General features: G+C 38.7%; 1 protein-coding gene and 1 long non-coding RNA gene across 7 annotated transcripts in view; one reads left to right on the plus strand and one right to left on the minus strand.

The window, feature by feature from the left end:
- SAMMSON (survival associated mitochondrial melanoma specific oncogenic non-coding RNA) overlaps positions 1-21,490 on the plus strand; it is a 435,002-nt gene that overhangs the window by 186,313 nt on the left and 227,199 nt on the right. For 2 of the 5 annotated variants that reach the window (NR_186029.1, NR_186028.1), the window contains one exon: positions 18,584-19,250. The exons of the other annotated variants lie outside the window; for them this stretch is intronic. This is a non-coding gene — a long non-coding RNA (survival associated mitochondrial melanoma specific oncogenic non-coding RNA). Of the gene's footprint in view, positions 1-18,583; positions 19,251-21,490 lie in introns of those variants that run through there. 5 annotated transcript variants of the gene reach the window in all.
- Positions 8,579-21,490, minus strand: part of MDFIC2 (MyoD family inhibitor domain containing 2) — a 118,160-nt gene continuing 105,248 nt past the window's right edge. For both annotated transcript variants that reach the window (NM_001364677.1, NM_001364676.1), the window contains 2 exons: positions 20,669-20,890; positions 8,579-11,285 (listed from right to left, as the gene is read on the minus strand). In NM_001364677.1, coding sequence (NP_001351606.1) covers positions 11,026-11,285; positions 20,669-20,890 — 482 coding nt within the window. In that variant the 3' untranslated portion in view covers positions 8,579-11,025. The remainder of the gene's footprint in view (positions 11,286-20,668; positions 20,891-21,490) is intronic.

Below are 21,490 nucleotides of genomic sequence, written 5' to 3' on the forward strand. Positions count from 1 at the left end.
TAGGAGATTGAGGCTGCAGTGAACCATGACTGTGCCTCTGCACTCCAGTCTGGGCAACAAAGTGAGACCTTGTCTCAAAAAAACCCAGAAAACAAAAATTTTATGCCATAGTCCTGACCCACTACTGCTATGAGCTTCCACTGTGACCTACAGAGATCTATTTATTCTATCTACACCTCAACATCCCCACTTCAAACACAGAAAGAGATCCTTTCCTCATCACAATGTATGTCACACGAAGCTTTGCATACTCCAGAAACTGGAGGACTTATTAAGTTTTCTTTACTTCAAATGACCATATAGTCATTCATTGTATAAAAAAAACAAATCTCAGTAATGTTCTTCTCATTTTCAATAATGGGATTTTTTTTTTTTTTTAGACAAATTGTGCTCTGTTACCTGGGCTCTAGTGCAGTGGCATGATCTTGGCTCACTGCAGCCTTGATGTCCTGGGCTTAAGGATCTTCCCAGCTCAGCCTGCCAAATAATTGGGACTACAGGTGCATGCCACCATGCCTGGCTAATTTTTATTTTTTTATTTTTTGGTATTTTTTTTGTAGAGATGAGGTCTCACTCTGTTGCCCAAGCTGATCTTAAAATATTGGGCTTAAGTGACCCTCCCGCCTCTGCCCCCTCAAAGTTCTGGGATTACAGGCGTGAGCCAGCACACTCAACCATAGGAATTTTTATTTTGAAAGGTTACCTAATAGTTGAAAGGGGTTTCATTGATGGCACCGAATTGAGGGGTGGTTAGGAGGAGAATGAGAAAAACCTTTCTTAGCTGAAAAAGGAGCCCCCAAGAAGCTTCCACTGTGTGATGGGAAACAAATATCACTAGCATGTTAAATAATCAGTGCTCATAAAGTGTCATTATGAAAGCAACTTTGCATTTGTCTCTTGCCATTCTTTTATATTTATTTGTCAGAGGGAGTCTTTTCCTAGCTCTTGGAAGTAAACTCAGGGAAGCCCCATGACATGTCTGTCAGACAGCCTTTAAGTCATAAACGTAGTCTCAATTCATAACCTAGTTTGAGTACTAAGAACCATAGTTCTGAATTTGATTCAGTCAATGTCTTCTCCTGTTCTAGCTGGGGACTACTGTGTGGACTGGCTGCTGGAAGAAAGGTCTGTCATGGGCCTTTCGTCTTTCTCTAGCTACCATGTTTCCTTCTTCAGTGGCACTGTGGCTCCTGAACCCACCAAGGCCGAATGGGGAGTAGGAGGGTAGGAAGAGGATAAAGAGGATAGAAAGCTTCTAATTTGATTGATACTCTTATAGCATTGTGGCATATTCTCTGCATCTTGCATACATTGAAGGTGCCAATTTCATTAAAGGGTGCCTTTTATGGTTTCATCAGAGTACCCATGATGGAGAAGGGTCTCCCACGTGTGTTCCTTTGACCTGTGAATACAAACCCTATTTATCCAGGGCTTGGTGTTGCACACATAATTTCTTTTTGCTGAAGTCTCATAGACATTTTTGGTGGCCTTATGAGACAGAGCATGAGACAGCTCTGGGACCAACTCTTTTTTTTTTTTTTTTTTTTTTTTTTTTGAGACGGAGTTTCGCTCTGTCGCCCAGGCTGGAGTGCAGTGGCGCGATCTCGACTCACTGCAAGCTCCGCCTCCCGGGTTCACGCCATTCTCCTGCCTCAGCCTCCCGTGTAGCTGGGACTACAGGCACACGCCACCATGCCCGGCTAATTTTTGTATTTTTAGTACAGACGGGGTTTCACCGTGTTAGCCAGGATGGTCTCGATCTCCTGACCTCGTGATCCGCCCGTCTCGGCCTCCCAAAGTGCTGGGATTACAGGCCTGAGCCACCGCGCCCGGCCGGGACCAACTCTTTCTCAGGCACCTCACCCATATGTAGTCCATCAGACCACACAATTCCCAGCCTATGCTTGCTCTGCAGTGTGGTGCTTTTTTTTCTGGGCAAAGGCAACTCTACCTCACTCTGCTGCCATAGAAGCTCAGCCCTCTGGTTTCCTGGGTAGGAGTCCATGCGGTTCACTTTGTCTCCCTATAAAAAGAGGCCATGTAGCAAGCTCTCTGAGTGTTCACTTGGACATACCTCCCACCACATTAAGGAGAAGGGCAGCCACCCCACCTTTCCCCTGGGGAGGCATCACAGAGAAGGATCTCTAAGGAAATCAACACCATAAACTCGTCTCTATCTGTCTGCCACTGTCCTACCTTTTTAAATCCTCAAAATGTTGGGTTGGCCAGCCTGGCCTTCAACCATGGCCATCTTACAGCTCTCTTTATTGTCTTTATAGTAAAGTGAGGAAGACATGGGGTTTGAAGTCAGACAAACTCTAGAGTTCAAATATCTACTCTGCCATTGTGTTGTCTTGGTGTTAGAAAGCTATTTCAAGTCTCCAAGACTCACTTTTCCTCATCAATAAAATGGGGGTCATAATACCTTTCTCAGAGATCATTGAGGTAGTTCAGTGAGATAATGCATTAATGGCTGTTTATACAGCACTGACACATAAGTGCTTATTAAAATTACCTACTACAGGAGGTATTATGCTAATCTTGGGAGAAAAGTGTGTGGTATCTAAGAGAAGAAAAAATAAAGAGATATGGGAATTAGAAGTGCTCATTTCCTGGAGGAGTGAACAGGAATAATGAAAGGGATGGTATATGGAATAAGTCTCAAAAAGTTGATATGATGTGGGATAGTGCAGAAATAAAGAATAGACATCTCTCATGTGTTACGGAAACAAATGAACTAGGTAGTGATAAGAATAATTATAGCTGAAATTTAGTGAGTTTACCATATATACTAAGCCTACGCTAAAGACTTGGCTGAATCATCTCTTTTACTCCTCACAATGACCCAATAGGGTAGGTATTATTAACAACACTTTATCATCTAGCAACCTGAGGCTCAGAGAGGTTTAGTTACTAACTCAATGCATTTGACTGGTAAATGGTGGTGACGACTAGAACCAATGTTTGTCTGCAGTCTGCAACCTTTTTTTCTGCTATTACAAAGCTAACATGAAAACTTTTCATGAACTATACCTGAATTATAACAGGGCATTCTGGAGCAGGAGTCTCCTAATGGTTCAAACACCCCAAAAATCAGAAGAGAGGGTGCTTGAGACCATGAATCTTTAGAATGTTTCTCCAATTTTGAGTGCCTAAGTAATATACCGCCCCCAGCACAAAGAAGTATAATCCTTCTAAGATGGTTTTAAACTCAAGGATGACCTCTATTCTCTTACTTTCCTCACCCCCAGGAGGAATCTTGAATTACTAATAATTGCTGTGTTCACAAAGGATAAAGCCAGGAGAATTGACAGGAATTTTTTTTTGCATAGATGGTATTAGTTATAAAATTTATGCTAGTTCTAGAGTTTCATAGGGCATCCTGGTAACTCTCTCCCTCATGCAGAAAGCCCCAGTGAGGGCAGAGAAAAGTACATTTCAGGCATGACCAATAATATATACACTAAGTTCTAAGCCATGCAAATGTGCTGAAAGTTCATCAGTTAAGTGTTCACTGATTATTCCTACAGGACCAATCCAGCTATTGAGAAGTCAGTTTCCATTATTTTTCTCCATGAAGCAGAACTTGCCAGGGGCCTGGAATACAATATAGAGTGTAGTCAGATGGGTTTTGCACTTCGCCCAACCTAGCAAAGTCACTCCTTGGCTATTATTTTTCACTCTATTGTAAATAGCAAGAGGCAGATGAAAAGGTAAAAAATATGTTGGTTGGAAGATACTTATTCTCGCCTACCTAGGGTAATCAAGAATAGACATCAGCTCCAGATTTGGTAAGTAATAACTCACATTTGACTTTAATACACCATGATAAACTTTTAGGAATATATCTTTTAAAACATAAAATGCTTTACCTCTGATTTAAAGTTTGGGGGATTGGTCCTGCACCGTAGGCACATTAGATTTAGCATCTCTGGAAATTCCAGAGCAATTTTAAACTACTCTTTTTGATCACTTGCTGCAGCTCCAGCTTTCAAAGAGAATGAGATGTTTTGGGAATGAATTGTGATGGACTTATATGAAAATTTATATGGCCAAGAATTGGATTTGTTCCCCTGGAATATTATAGATTATATTTTATGTTGGAATTACATCAGTGTGCAGAGCAGCAGAAGGCTGGCTTAATGTAGCTAAAAATATACCTTGACTTTCCACTTGGAATAGAACTCCCCCCTCCCCAACCCATTTCTTCCCTAATGAAAATAATGGCTTCATGACTCATATATGTGATAGACAGTAGGCAATATTTGAGTTTTAAAATAAGAAGAGTTTGAGAAAGGACTAATGGTCCTTTTCTAATTTCTTTCCCATCCATCTCTTCCCTCCTGTTTCCCTGTCACCATCCTATTTCAAGCCTTCATCACCCCATGCCTTATTGCAATTGCACCTTTCTCAGTCTCTACTCTCCTGGCTTTAATTTGTCCTGCATGCTGCTGCCTGGTCAATCTTCCTCCTCCACCACTTTAATCATGTAATCTCCTGCTATTCTTCAGTGATTTTTCATCTGCTCCTTAATAAATTGAAAGCTCACTTCACAATCACCATCTTAGTCCAGGTCACTACTAGGTCTTACCTGAAGTTGGGCAGTAGCCTCCTACCTGGCCACCTAATTGGTCTCACCATTGCTTTGATTTGACCTAATGTTTTCCAAAAATATTATTCAAGTACGTTTGGTTACATGCAGGAGGATTTTGGTGCCACACAGATACTTTTATTCACAGAATTACTTATAAAACATTGCTAATATAGTATTATAAATGCGTAACAAGGAATTTGTGTATATTGTTGCTTGGAGTGAAAGGCATCAAGAAAGTGAGCTAATAAATCACTTCATGGGGTGTATACATTCTAAGGGATGTAATTTTCTACATCCCTTAGAATACCATCTTCACCTCACCTCCCAGGGGCAGTTTTACAAACTCACTTTATGTGCCAGGTGGTTTACTGCCATGCCCACATTGGCAATTATAGGATCACAGCAATGGCAGAGTAGTGACAGTGGGACCATCCTGGCCTCTTGCCTTCATCCCTGATTTCAGGGACTGGCCCCTAGTATTGCCAACTACACAGCAGTAATTGGACACGTTAATGCAGCTTTCTGCAGTCTCAACTTTAAATGATGAGTAGCTTAGCTACTGAGAGGATCTTCTTCTATATTCTTATTTTATTTTTTAAATTTTACGGGAACTTGATATTAAATGAGGAACCATAGGCAGAAAGTGCTGAAAGAGGAAACAAAGAGGATGTTGGGGAGTGCTGAACTTAATGAAAGCTCTGTATCCACAAAATAAGTTGTGGCTTTGTAAATTCATTCTAAGTACATTTGAGGAACAATAAACCATAAAAGAGGTTAGCATGACCTTGGATTCTGTATAGCTTTTGAGATAAAAGGTCTAAGCATCAGAATGCATTTTTTGAGCATAGTGTTGTTGACTGATTAAAAACAATTCATGCTCCTAGAACCCTCTGGTGGAATGCTGATGAGGGGCTGGCCTGGGTGCATTGTGCACGAATGACTCTCTTAAAGCAAAGATCAAAGTTGCTTTTCTAAAATGGAACACTAAAAGGTAAGTCTTTGTAACCATAGATAAATGAGGCAAAGCTACTGACATAAGGATTAAATTGCAATACATTGACTTTGCATTTATTACTTATTGGGTACGTATCTTAAAAGCATTTTGAAGATGTTCCAAATTCTAATCATTGTACAGGATAACAACTCTTAAAACATTTACTACCAGTGAATGTTTTTCTTTGATATAGCCATAGTATTTTTCTGAATGCTTTAAAAGTAACTACTTGAACTTTATCTTGGTTTCATAATTTTTCACATGTATAACTTTTTAGGCTTAGTGATTAAAAGCATGGGTTTTGGAATGAACAGATTTGGCCTCAAACCTTGTGATAATTGGTTATTTGCCGTGTAACCTGGGACAATTTACTTAATCTCTTTAAGACTCTTTCCCTAAAAAAAAAAAAAAAGGAAATAATAATAAAATCTACTTTAGACGGCTGTTAGAGAATGTAATAATATACCAAAATACTTAAATATTTTCTATATGATATTTTTTCTCATCTGTAAAATAAATTAATAAAAATAAAAATTATGTAGAGAACACATCAATCTCTCTGGTCCACCCCTAACTATATACTAAGAGTGTAAGGTGAAATTCGGATTTTAGTAGATGGCATTGCAATCCATGACCAAGAAATGTCTCCATCTCGCCCTCCCACTTACCCCCTTTCCCCCAAAGTGCCCTAACAGCGATATATGGAAAGGAAAATTCCGGAGAGAAGAAAATACTCCTTTATAGCTGTGCAAGCACCTCTAATACAGGTCCTTCTGGCAAAGGATTGAATGAGAAAATGTGTTTTAGATCTCCAGGCCTAAGTAGTTCTGCTTCCCACCCTTTGAATCAAGATAACCCTTTGGCTGAGGGTCCTCCTCAGTTGCCAATCAAGATGTGAAGCAGAGAAGGAGACTTGGCCAGGGTAGTCCAGGGCCATGGGCCCTGTGTAAGCGGCAGACAGGAAGGAAAATGCCATGGAGGTGATCTTTAAGCCAGACTCCCCAAACCTGTCTTAAATTACACCACATTGTAAATTGTGGCCCAATGAATGTCCTGGCCTCCCACCAAAAAGATAAACAACCCCTACTCTCTTGAAGGCTGGGAGAAAGCTGAAGGTTCATCACTTCTGTTGACTCCTTCTCAAAACGTGGAGTCTTTAGAACTAGCGTTGCCAGATTTAGCAATTAGAAATAAGGAGCATCCAGCTACATTTGCATCTCAGATAAATGAAGAATCATATTCGTAGTATAAGTAGGTCACATGTAATATTTGGGACATGCTTGCTTGTTGTTTTTCTGAAATTCAAAGTTGACTCGGCATCCTGTGTTTTGTCTGGCAACTCTATTTTCGACAGTTTCTAAAGGTGAATTGGTGATGGATAATTGAGACTGACAGAATGCTTCAGAAAAATGCTGTTGACATTTAGATATTTGTTGGTGGGCGCGGGGGGTTGTGGCTGTCCTGTGCCTTACGGATGTTTAGCAACATTTCTGGCTTCTATCCACAAGATTCTAGTAGCAGTCTCCTGCCCTCCATTGTGACATCAATTGTCTCTCCAGGCTTTGCCAAATTGTGAGGGAGGGAATTGAGAACCACTGCTTTAGAGGCAGTGGCAAAAGCAGAGCTGTGAAGCATATCAAGATGGTAGACCAGAAGGAGGCATATTTATCCAAATAATGGCACAGCTCTGGCCCCCACCTGCATTTCTTGTCCTCTCCCCACATTCTGGGCTCCTTCCCTGTAATATTAGGAGCAATTCAGACCTCTGTTGGAGAAGCCCCAAAATATAATTTTAGTCCCATATTAATTAATTAATTATTTTGAGGACAAGGTCTTGCTCTGTCACCCAGGCTGGAATGCAGTGGCGTAATCATGGCTCTCTGTATCCTCGAACTCCTGGGCTCATGCCATCCTTTCACCTCAGCCTCCTGAGTGGCTAAGACTACAGGAATACACAACTATGCCAGCAAATTTTTAAATTTTTATTTTTTGTAGAGACAGGGGTCTCACTATGTTACCCAGGCTACCAAGTCCAGCCCCTATGTTGATTATCACTGGAAATTTGTTTGACTCTATTCACTTTGCCTTTCTACACAGCTCACCTGACGATACATGTGGCAACTGTTTAGGTTTTACTCAGATCTTCTTCAAAAAACACCCAATAAACTCTTAAACCAAATATTTATATTTTATCAGAGTCTATAGTTTGTGTGGACTGAGGGAACTTAGTATTTGATGGGCAAAATTCTTGCAGTCAAACAACTTTACTTAAGTTTACATATTAATATTTTTCTCCATTTTGTTGAGAGAAAGAAACTTAGAGGCATTGGGTAATTAATTCTGCCTATCAAATATTTCCATCTATACATTTATCCTTGAAAAAATGCTAATATGACCTCCCATGATGTTTCCTATTTATAAAGTTTCTCTGCCTGGATGTTTTCTTGCTCCTTTGGAAAAAAAACTGAAGCGACTTTCGCTCTATTAACTTTGATTGTCCAGCATTGATAATTAATTTTGTAGGCCTATCAGCTTATGTAGTGGGAAAATTTCATTAGCAAGTCAAACGTAACTTCGTATCTTCATTGCTTTCCATATTTTGTCGGCTTTTACAGAAGCAATGGTTTTATAAAAAATCCATTGAGCAGAGCAAAGACAATGTAGCTATGTCGTTATAATGCTGTAGGAAAAAAAATGTCTGTTCCTCATTCTATATAAAGATTGTATGTTCTTAAATCTCTTTTATAAGAGTGTGCTTCCTTAAATCAGAATACTCTGTTCCCTGAGAAGTCCCACCTTAAAGAACAACATTATCTTTATTTGTAATCACAGGCCTTCATCATTGCAGAAAATATCTGAGCCTTCTCAGATTCTGATATTTGTATTTAATCAATAACCACATCCCTTTTTGATCTGCCTTACTTCTGCAATTGTATTTCCCCAGCTGCGTATGTTTTATTGTGTAAGAATTCAATTGAAAAAGCCATTCATGTTTGCAAAAAGGATGATGTTTTATTATTGGTTATAAAGAAAAGAAATTTCACACTTTGTATAACCGACCCTTTCTGTTATAGCACAGTGAATTCTGAAAGTGAGGAACAAAGTTAACAAACCGTGGAAAGCAAGGCCACAGAAAGATCTTGTAGTGTTCTGACCACATTACCACATAAGACCTGGTGATTTTTATGTCTCTAATTGACAAGCATTCAATTCACATTTGAAATGCACAATCTTTGCATAATTTGAGGGTATGTAGAGTAGAAAGAATAAGGGAATGATAATTGAAATATTTAACACCAATATGGCATGGCCTCACCAATGATACCAGGTACCATATTATAGGAATAGGGTTCCAGAGACCCCCAGGTGTTCCTCCTTTAGTGACTAGACCACGGGTAGAGGGGTGGGTGCTCAGAGAGGAGCCAAGAGGGATGGGACATAAGGAAGCACTAGGAGGTGCAAGGAAACAACTGTTGATGAGTCAGTCTGGTAGTGTTTTAGTATTTTAACAATTGTAACACCTGCACCACTGAGTACCAGCTGGACTGAGAATTGGGTAGTGCAGGTAGTCAGAAAATTAGAACCCAAGTTAGAGTTCCTGACACTGCCAATAATTCACTGTGTGGTCTTGAATAAGTCAGTTCATGGGGCCTCTCTTTTCCCCTGTGAAATATAAAAAGGTTGCATAAGAACAGCCTTATGTTCCCTTCCTGTTCTAGGAATCTATTTTTTTTTCTTCTAATGATCTACAAGTTCTATGCATTGAGTATAGAGCTGTTTCTTCGAGCTTCTGAAAAGCAGAAAGACTTTTTCATGGAAGGTGTGGGGCACTTTCATGCTCCGTGGTTTGTGAATAACATGGTCATCAAACAGGAATGAAATCAGCATTAACCATGGGTGCACTGCACTTCCAGGAGCAAGTTGAGAGTGGTTAAATGCCTTTTTAGAGGCAGTTTACAAATATTTTTAACAGATGAATAGTTTTCAATGTTTGGGAGAGTTTATTTCAAATTGGAAAAATGTGCTAGTTTGCTACAGAAATAAAGCAAATGGTGATTTTGCCTGAAATTACCTAAGTCAGGAAAAAACAGGTATTTTGGAGCTTTCTTTTGTTGTTGCTGTTTCCCTAAATTACACACAAAAAAATTCCCTCAATTCTCCATTTCACTTTTGTGTTCTTTGTTTGGTTACTCATGCATGATGCTTTTTTATATTCAGTGAAAATATTAAGATATATCCATGGAAATTAACACAAAGTAATGAGCAATGTATTTGCCCAAGGACTATAGAATTGTTTCTACAGAAAGTAAAGAACATTCCAAAGTAACTTTAACCTAGATGTGTTTTCACCACAAACTGTTTAAACTTATTTGAGTCGAAAATCACTTTCCAGTCTATATCACATCTTTTTCTTAAAAAAATAAGTAAAATAAGTACTTGACATAATTATTGATCACTTTAATTATCAGACAAAGAAAAACATGGTTTCTGAAGCACATGCTATATTAAGAAGCTTGGTGCTGAATAAGTACCCTCAACGCTTATTTCTTTCTGGTGTCTATACAAATGATAGTTTTGTAAAATGAGCTGAATCTGTTTTAATATCCTGTTGCTTATTGTACCTGACAAATAAAAATGAAGAAAGTGAAGAATTGAGATTTTTTTGAAACTTGCACATAATTCTCATTTATGCTTATTAGAATAACTAAGAGCCTTTCTGTAACGAATTAAGAATATGAATAACCTGTTATGACATAGTCATAGACATACAATAATATGGTCTAGAATTATAGTACTCTCTTGAAGTACACCATATTCAAAATTCACTGGAGATGTTTTAGAGACATCTGTTGTAATTACAGGAACATGGTTTCTAATTCATTTAATTCCCTTTCCTACCTAAACTGTACATATAAGTGAATTTTAAGAGACTGTATAAATAAATTTTTAATTACAAAATGATGTTATACAATACATTATTAATAATAACCAACAATGCATAATGTTTATGCATGAGTCCATTAGAAAGACGAGCTAATGTATGTCAATTCTAAAAGAATGCACTAATTTGTCCTGAATTTGTGAATGAGGTTGAATCCATAATGCAAGCTGATGAGTGCAATAACGCAGTGGCTTAACATGCTATTTTATAGTCAAGAAACATCTTGTACCTACAGCATTTAAGAGGTATTTAAGATTTGTTCATCACATGTGATCAAGAATCTTATTTTTCAGTGAGCCATGCGGTTGTGAAATTTGGAATAAGACCATTGAGTTGATAATACTAGCTTTCCTAGACAGGTGCAGAATAAAATGGCCTATAGCATCCAAGAAATGTGTACAGTCCTTACATTTCAGCACATGGAAATCAGTCTTGTTGTAATGGAATTTCCCACCGTGGCCAAAAGGACTGCCGGAATGTGGTTACTTCACTGTGCTAGCGGTAACAGATTTCTGAAATCTCCATGGCCAGTTCCAGACACTCGCTGGTCTCATGGCAAGATTCAAAAAGGCTGCAGTCCATGTCACAATTGCAGCTGCAATCATTCCGAGAGTGGTTTTCATCCGAGGTGTGGTGATACCGGCGAGAGGGGCAGCACATTTTGGTACACACCGTTTCGCAGGTGCCGGGGAGCATCAGGAGACAGTCCCAAAACTGGCAAAACAGACAGGCGAGGATAAGGGAGGCACACTCCTCTGTTTAAAGAAGAAGACCAATTAATAGTGGCACATCTGGGGGCGTCTATGAAGGACAGGCATGTGTGCTGGGATACTTGATAACTTGATAGCCAACTCTTAATTATTTATCCACATTAGGGGTAATGTACACCCTTCTTCTCTCAAGCTCCCCCACCCCCATGTCAGTACTCACTCTACTTAAGTAATTGCTTTATTAACTTCCTGAGCATTTCCTATTGATTCGACATAATCTGGTTATTTAAAGTGCTGTCAGTTTTCTAAACTCCTTTATTTACTTTGCCTGCAAGGCTCTGGGAAGCCACACAATTAGCTACCTCTCTGGAAACCTTGCAACTGTCTGAAAAATTGCAGGGACTCCCCAAATACAAGGGGCTTAAGAAGCAGTTAGGATTGGGGACAAGGAGAGACTGTACAAATGCCCTGTTTCTTGTCACTAGGCTTTGTTATTTTTCGACATGGATTCCCATAAATCTGCCACACCCATATTCCAGTGCAAGCGAAAAGCACATTTCAAAACTTAATATAAATGCTTTTTAAAATAATCACAGCTTTTGGGTTGTGTTTTATTTTTAATCTCTGTTTCCGTTTCCCTCCAGTTATGTAAAGCCTTGATTTTATATTCAAGTTGTTTAAGTGAAATACGTCATCATATGCCTAAAAGGTTTTAAATCTTATCAATCCTCTTTAAGAAAATTGGTTTAAAAATTTACTACACAGGCTTGTAAAAATCTGGAAAGTATCTCTAAGGCATTGAAGGTAACTGGTAATTTCTAGCCAAACAGCTGTGATGGGTTATAGATTATTATGTTTTTTGTTTGCATAAAGGGAATTAGTTAGAAGATGTAGCAGTTCTCTTGTTAAAATTTTAACTTTTCTTTCTTTTAAGTTAAAAAAGTCTAAAAAATGTGTGAGTGCTTTGTAAAAGGGTAGGTAAGTGTTCATGTGATATATTACCTAATTAATTAAAATCAGTAATCTGAAGATTATTGATGATTGAAAGTAACATTCTAGCATGAATTAGAGAAAAAATTTCTCCTCTAGATGGGCTTATCAATTGATTTAAGTTTGACTTTCATAAGGATCTGTATTTTTCCCAATAAGAATGCTAATAACTTTGGTTTTCAGACTTTAGTCAATGGGGAGTATATAAGCATATAGAAGAGATTTTGCCTACAGTATAAGTGCTCTTATCGCCGTATTCATTTACTTTTATTTTCCAGAAAGCTCTTTTCTTTCATTATTCATATAATAGTCTTTAAGTGAAAGAAAAATATGGAAACTTCCTATGAAAAGGAACAAATATTTTAAAGAAAGCCACTTTGGTTTCTTGTAAAAACACTATATAAAGTTATAAGGTGAGTCCTGAATATAAGTAAACAGAAATCTTTCTTCTTTCCTCTTTTTCTCTCCATCCTCTTTCTCTTACCTTCCCTTCCTTTCTTCCCAGAAAGATGGTGGTAAAGAACCACACCATGACTGTTATGACTACTTTAATTGTCATATATTGTTGCAGGTGCTGTGGCCACTACTCAGTATTTATAGTTCAGGCAGCATATTCCACAATACCTCTACTGTGTACAAACTCATCTCTTTGCCAGATTTGCTGTATTTTTCTTCACTTAGAGCCAGCTTTTAGCGTGTGACCAACTCTCCCATATCTCATAAGTCACCACAAACCTCCCACAAAAATGCAAGAGTAAGTTAGTAATAGTATATAGACTGTTTCAACTATGCTTTTCTGAAAAGGAAAAGATGGTCAAAGATGAGGGACATACAACCTCATCGAGTTTTACCAATATGAAGACCACTACTATAGCAGTGGCTGCACTGGCAAAGAAGAGGCTGTCAGCAGACAATCTCCAAGTGAATACTCTGTGATCCCTCAGGCTGAATGCTCAAGAGACTTACTCAAGCTTATGACCATATAAAAATGAGTCCACTGGATCCTGTCCTTTATACATGCAAGGTTAAAAGTTTGCTTTGGAGTTAAGTAGGGTGGGAATGCAGGTGACCTTAAGGATTGGAGCTGGTGTTTCCTATCAGAGTGTGAAGGACCTGTTCGTAAAGTGGTCTTATAATTTCCTGAGAGTGTACAACCTTTTGGTTCAATTGCTCTTGCCAATGTCTCCTCAAGTTGGCAGACTCTGGAGGTCTCCTCTTCTAATGTATACTGTAGATTTTATTTACAAAAGAAAAAAAAAAGTTTTGGCTTAATCCTTTGGCCAAATTGGCACTTGTTTCCTTCTACCTCCCTATTTTGCACTTGAGAATAGAGCCCATTTTTTTCTGTTTCTAAGTCAGTCCTTTTTATTTGGTTTTAAAAGGCAGAGTCTCTTGCCCAAAAACAACATGGTAACATTAATGAATTGAAAACAGATTTTTCCGATCTTTCAAGTGAGTTCCACACTTTTCCTAAAAGGCATGTTAAATAGTTCTACATGAGCAGGTAAAACTGTTTTGCATATGGCCAATTTTTGTTTGCACAAGCAGTTCAGGGGAAAATTTGCAACTGTTTGAAAAGAGCGTTGGATTTCCTCTTGTCCTGAATGAGTATATTTTTCTTTGCCTGCACTATTTCCTGGTGCTTTAATGTTTAATAAATGTGATATTCAAAGTCCTATCCCAGGATTCGCACCCCTTCTCTCAGCCCATCCAAAAGTGTATACCATATATGCTATTGCCTGCTGCACGTCTCTTCTGCAACGTCTTCAAAACATCTCACTTACCAAGGCCAAACTGCATTTTGGATCTCTCTCTCCCCAGTCCTACAAATCTGTTCCTCCTCCTACTTTCTTTTATGGATGGCTTCTGAACACCCAGATGAATTCGGCAGAAACCTGGTAGTCATTCTTTGTCATTTTGCTTTTCCTCATCATACCTTCCCCATGCAATTCATTGCTGAGTCCTGCTGTTTCCACCTCAAATTCGTATTCGAAATCCACAAGCTGCTCACCACCTGCAGGGCCACCATTTTAGCTCTGGCCACCATCAGCCACCAGCAGGTCAACAGCAATAGCCTCCTGGCAAGGACACTCTGCTTCCACATGAGCCCGCTTCAAATTCATCAGCTCCTTCAGTATTTTTAATTCTAAATTTAAACAACTCACTCTCCCCTTAGAGAAAAGTGCCAAATCCTTGCCTTAGCCTACAAGCCCTTGCATGATTGGATTCCTGCCTATTTCTCTGACTTCTGGACCTACTTTACTTACTTCACACTCACAGCACTCCAGCCACACTGACTAAATTGCAGTATTTGGAATGCACATGGCTCAGGGCCTTTGCACATGCTGTGTTTTTGCCTGCATTGCACACCCTCCTGCCCCTCAACTTCACCCAACTCCTATTCAAACATTTAAGTTTTTAGCTTTAAACACCTTCCCTTTAAATCACATCCTTGCTGAAACTCTCACAGCAATCTGTTTTATTTTTTCTTCATAGCACTGACCATACGATGGCATGAAACTAATTAGTTTGTTACCTCCTCCTATTAGAATCTACGTTGCAAGAGGCAAGAAAGCCATATCTCTCTCTCTGGTTGACTGACTAAATCAATGAATGATTCTAACAAGTAAATATTGTAATCCTCATTTTTTAGATGCAAGGACTAAGGTTCAGGGATTGTTTCTGACTGTCCTAAATCCTACCAACTGTAAGATCGTAGAGCAGAGATTCAAATCTAAGTCTTTCTGAATCCAAAGCCTGTGGTCTCTATCCCACTGTTATATGTGTCAACTATTTTGCCAAAAGCCAATCTACAGCCCTCTATACTTTTTTTGGGGTGGGGGTGGGTGTTCATTTCTCTTCTCCTTCTATATTTAGAACCTTTGTTTTGTAACTTTTTTTTTTTACTTATTTAAATTCTTTTTTTAACATTTATTAAGTTCAGGGGTCATGTGCTGGTTTGCTACATAGGTAAACTTGTGTCATGGAGGTTTATTGGACAGTTTATTTCATCACCCAGGTATTAAGTCTAGTACTCATTATTTTTCCTGATCCTCTCCCTCCTCTCACCCTCCACCCTCCAATAAGCCCCATTGTGTGTCGTTCCCCTCTCTGTGTTTATGTGTTCTCATCATTTAGCTCCCACTTATGGGTGAGAACATGTGGTGTTTGGTTTTCTGTTTCTGTGCTAGTTTGCTAAGGATGATGGCATCCAGCTCCATCCAAGTTCCTGCAAAGGACATGATCTTGTTCTTTTTTACAGCTGTGTAGTTCTCCATGGTATATATGTACCACATTTTCTTTAACTAGTCTATCATTGATGGACATTTAGTTTGATTCCATGTCTTTGCTATTGCAAATTTTGTGCAGGCCTCCACATACAGCTTACACAGGCCTCCAGATCACCCTGAGTTGAGTACTATTATGATCCCTGTTTATGGATGAGGAAACTGAGGCAAAGAGTGTTTAAGAGGCATGCCCCAGGAAACATAGGCTATTGCAGCACTGTAATTTGAACCAGACTGACTCCTCCACAGTTTTTAACTAGGAATCCAACCTGCCTTCCATAATATGCTCCCAGTTTCCTTCTGACACACTTGAGCATGGCACAGGCCACTACCAGCTTCTTGATGGCCTGCTTCCCTCTCCATTCCCTCCTCTTGCCCTCCTCTGTGCTGGATTCCCAAGACTGGCAAAGATCATTTTCCACTTGCTCTTAGTGGCTTCTGTCTAGATTCAGCCAGTAGAAGGCAGTAACTGGAACCTGCAAGATGGGAGGAAGAGAAAATTCAGGGTGCTTCTCCTCCTGCTCTTTGCTTTGGGTGGTGTCTTAGGCAGTGGTTTTATCTTCTCTTTGCTTTTATCTCTCTCTGAATGTATATCCCTCTGTGGCTCTGGCTAACCACAGTGACTGTGGTCTAATAGTAGTTAGTGACTAGTGGTCTATCTGATAGTGGTTAGTGACTAGTGTTCTAATAGTGGTTAGTGACTAGTGGTCTATCTGATAGTGATTGGTGACTGACTAGTGGTCTATCTGGTAATGGTTAGTGACTAGTAGTCTATTTGATAACAGTTAGTGACTAGTGGTCTATCTGCTAATGGTTAGTGACTAATGGCCTATTTGATAGTGGTCAGTGACTAGTGGTCTTTCTGATAATGGTTAGTAACTAGTGCTCTATCTGATAGTGGTTAGTGACTAGTAGTCTATCTGACAACAGTTAGTACTAGTGGTCTCCAAGTTCATACCAGTGCACTAGTAGTCTGGAGGGACAAAAGGAAGAGGTGGGAGAGCCTTCTTGTTGTTGCTAATATCTGAGTAGCTTACTGTTCACTGTATTTGACTTTTCTGCTCTTCTAAAACCTTTGTCACAAGTTCTTTGTATATTAAATCTCCTCTATAGAACACCTGGCATCCTGGCACAGGCTCTAATCACTGCTATTGAAGTGCCCACCTGGCTTTCCTATTCCTTAAACCTGAATTAAAGAAGGTTTAAGATGGATCAGAGACCTGCAGGCTGCACAGTCAACAGTGGTGTTTTGCTGGGAGCAAAAAGCCATGACAAAAACCCCTTTGGGCTTCATTTCCTTTCTACACCCCAGGGTACCTTTAGGACATGGAGGCTGTGATGAGCAAAGTGATACCCTAATGACACTGAAGAATTAACACAGCTTCCAGAGGTGTTAAATGTACAACTGGGGACTGGCTAATTAGGAGGGAGAATCTCTCTCACTAGAAAGCATCATCTTTAATTAGAGTGGAAAAGGTGGCAATCCAAGGAGGTTCCACAAGTGTGTTTGAGGGGAGCCTCATGGCTGCAGTCTTGCACTCCCTGATTCTGCCCTCCCAACTTTGGGTCTTGTCACCTTGGTGCCCATGATTAGGAGGTGGGAGGGATAAGAGCACCCACAGAAGTTCCTGAAGCATTTCTGAGCTGCTGAAGCACACCTCCTGCTACCCCAGGACTCCTTATCCTAAGTGGCAAGAATCATTCTCCCAGAAGTGATCCCAGACAAATCACAATCCCTCCTCATCCTCCCCAAAGCAAAGAAAAAGAAAAGAGCCAGCATGATACCAGCCCCAAGCCAGTATTTTAATACATTAATATGTTATCACAGAGAATTCAGCATCATAATGAGATTCATGACACAATGAATCCACTGATTACTAAAAGTTTCCAAAAGTGTAAAAATCGGTTCCCACTCCCCCACACTGAGTTCTTTAAAAAATGTCTGTAATGTAGAATGGGAATAAATAAAGAGTGATTGAATGCCTTTCTCTAGCTGGGGTATCATCCCTGATGTTATCAATTTTAATAGCTACTTAAATATGTCAAGATCTATTTAAGTTCAGACAAGCACAACTAACACTCAAGTCAGTTCTTTAGAACTAGAATGACTAGATTTGGGTGATACTAAGTAAATTTGGGCTTATGTTTTTTTCTGAGCAAATGAACTGAAATAATTATAAAATTGAAACATTTTATAAGGTGACACTGGTGCATTTAATTGTATGAAATTTACAGTGTAGAAAATGTAATCATTTTATTCAGTAGTCCATGGTGTAATTAAGACTATTCTTTTGAGGTATCTTGTATTTATGATTTTCCTCTTCCACCTGGATGAGATGTCTCAAATTCAAAATTATACATCAATTAGGTATAGTCTCAGGATTATTTTTAAGGGGACTGTTTTCTAATATCATGTATATTTCTGACTTTCTTATCCACAGAGAAGCTTTCACAATCAGAAGTTTGCAGAAACAGAAGTGGGGACATGGATAGTCCTCTGGACACTTTCCATTTTATTCAGGAAAGGGACCACACACGATGAACCACAATTTAGTAATAAAGTAATGTTTCAGCACACAGTGTGTGATGTGCAGTAAAGATCCTTTTAAATTCCCATCAGAGCACACACCATGAACTGTGCTAATGGATGTAACACATTTTACAAAATCTGCATGTGTGAGGCTTTTCCATCCTGTTTTAAGTGGGGCAATGTATATAAATAATAGATATTAGCAATTAAGCATCTATTACTATGCACTCATTTATACATTTGAAAATAAATTAGCCACAAACTACATGAAAGTGGATGCAGTATTCTCTTTTCCCTTCTGTTTTCCCTGCTGTTCCTGAAAGATATTTCTGTATTTATCTCAGTACGAACAATGACCCCAGCTCTCAATTTCTGCATCCTTAAATTAATTACAATTACTATCGAAAATTCTCTAAAATGGAGTGAGTCTGACTTAACTCTTGTTTTCCTTGTTGTTTGCTGTTTAGGATAATGAGAGTTTCTTATCACTCTTTGTGGGTCTTAGGTTGGCTTCTTTTCCTTTCTCTTTTATCCAGGTACCAAAAGCTCTTACTTCACCGGGGAGATTTTTCACACGGGAGGAAAAGGACAAGTGGACTATCACCTAGGTGGTCAGCTTACAACCTGAATTTCTTGGAAATGACCTAATTTAATTATCTTCATGGATCTCCTTTGCTCTTTGAATGAAGAGTAGTCAGCTATTTTCTTTCTTTTTTTTTTTTTGAATGGGGCTCTTGAGTGTCAGTTGCCATTTTAATGAAGTAGTGATTTGGGCCCTTTCCTGATAATACAAGAGTTAGGTGTCATGCTAGTTGGCTTGGCCCCTCTTATTCCTCCAGTATCCCTGATAGGTCAGATCAGAGTGATTCTGGAGGGAAAGTATGTTTCACTGTGGATATGTACAATGGCAATTCCCAGTTCTGGGATTTAACTTAATTCAATTATTCACATGATGAGTAGCATCCACACACTCCTGGTAAAATTTGATAAAATGCTGTAGCATCAAGATGCTTTTGTAGAGGCCTCTCTGCCATTACCTGTTTTCTTGACTGGCATTAATCTCTACCAAAGCTAGAGACTTGAGCATCATCCTGAATTCAGAGTCATAATCTGATAGCTACAGGTCAAAGTTGGCCCAACGATGTGTTGTTGGGAGTACCTTGAGCTTTGAAAAAATAAATAAAAGTAATTATCAACCCTGGAAAACTTAGAAATTTTACATAACACTCCTGGTCTCTGGATTTTCTTGGAAAACTTCAATATCTGGCAACTCTGGCCCTGTATTTCCTTCTGGCAACAATCAGCTGGTACTGTGTCGAGGTAGTGACATTTAGATGAGCCATGTGCTCTCCAGCTTGCCATAGTCCTCACCAATCCCTGTTGTTTACTTCCAGCCTACTTAGTATTCATATTATCTGCAGGCAACTACAGGCAATTAAGCCTGTAGTTTCTGGCCTAAAGCATTCATGACAACATGTGCACAAGACACCACATACATAATATATGATAGAAATCTTCCTTACTTTCTAAAAATGTAATCACAATCATGGCTGAAATTGAGTACCTTCTGTGTACCAACTTTTGTACTAGGTGCTTTATACGTTATTTTTTTTTGATCCCCAACATACCCCATGGTGTGAACTAGCCTATCATATAATCAGAGACTAAAATTTAGAGATGGTAAATTTAAAAAACGTGTCCAGTACTGTACAGTTAATAGACTTCAGAGGCAGAAGTGAAACTGATGTGATTCCAAAGGTGCTGTTATTCAAAGTTTATTTAATCTTTTTTCTTATTTTCAAAAAGTAAATATGTATTTAAATGTAGACCAGAAACCATACCTTGTTACATTTTCCTTTGAGAAACTCCAGGCTTTCTTTAAATGCTAATGTAGATACTGAACACTACAAAATCTTGAATGGTTTTTCTCCTGTAAAGGTCATTGCAAAGTTAACCTAAGTAAAATTCCATATCTTGGTGTGGAGTCCATAATTTTGAACTTTGTTTGGCTGATTGTTTATTTAGCACCAAAACAATTTGAAATTGGCTTTGCAAACGAAATGTACTCTTTATGTCATATATAGGGATGATTGGGTCTAGGTTTGCACTGATCAGGATGCCTATGGATAATACCCAGGGGAACCACTCCTTTCTCATAGATTGCTGATGAGATTGCTTAATCTCATAGATTAAGATGTAAACATCTTAATTTTTTATGCTGTCTATATTTATATATTTCCGGCATTTTAATACTATTTCTCTCTGCCTTCTTTTCTCTGACTAGAGTTATAGACTGAATAGTTCCATGTCTGAGGAGAGAAAGAAGTTTGCCATTTTTCTTTATCTGCCTCATAGCCCCATAGCAATAATGATTATGTTCCACCCCAGCTATTTAAAACATGTTGCCTCTGATTCCCAGCTTTGAGAGCAAACAATCTGCCAAGCGCCTCATAACTGCAAAGTGACCTTGACATATGTCATTCACCAGAGTTTTCAAATCGAAGTCTTCGTGTTTAATATTCATAAGGACTTTTTTTTTCCTAACAGCATATGTGATGATTTTACAGGGGATGGGGGTTGGGAGCTTTATTTAGAGATGGGTTGAATTCTGAGAAACATACCATCAGTGTCTCTGTGATGAACTGAAGTATCAGTTTGGAGGTAAGAAAATGTTGTTTGGCATTCTTCAAGGGAGGACAGTGATGTGCTGGATTCTGACAGTTTTTTCTCATTGGGGTTTTCCTTGGCTGGTCCATCTGTGATATTGAAGTCAGATACTGAATTTATAACAATAGCATTAATGGGTTTCTCATCTGCATGCTTTGCATTCGTGAGTTGCGTATCTAGAGGAAAAAAGAAAAAACACATACAGAAACCCACTATGGTTTACGTGACCTAGTGACCTAAGAATGCAGAAATTTTCACATTTGACTTTCCTAAGATTAAAGTCTTAAGAAAACAAATGAAGTATTATTGAGCAAGACAATTTTGAATAAAAATATGAGAAAGAAGAGTGCAATCATTATAAAATTTTATACACATTGCAAACTTTACCTATCATGGTAATTTGTAACACTTATTTCTACTTTTTTTTTTTTTTTTGGTAATAAGTAGGGAGAATCAAGCAATTCATTCACTTGGATCAACAAAATCTCATAGTACATTGTCAGCCTCCTGTCACAGAGTATTATTAATCTGAGGAAAAGGATAAGGATCTTATGTGGTGGGCAATACTGCTGAGTTATTCATATGAGCTCAATCAAGTCACTTTATTACTTTGTTTTTACAAACCTCATTTTCCTCCTCTGTAAAAAGAAAAATGCATATAAATGAATAGTCTATAAGCTCATTCCTGCTTCTGTCCTCATAACCTCACAGTGGCTTTCTCTGCCTTGGTATTTAAGTTCCTATTCAGGTGATAGCCTGTATGGCTTTGGGGATAT

The sequence above is a fragment of the Homo sapiens genome, chromosome 3, assembly GCF_000001405.40.
Source record: "Homo sapiens chromosome 3, GRCh38.p14 Primary Assembly".
In the NCBI taxonomy this organism is placed as follows: Eukaryota; Metazoa; Chordata; class Mammalia; order Primates; family Hominidae; genus Homo; species Homo sapiens.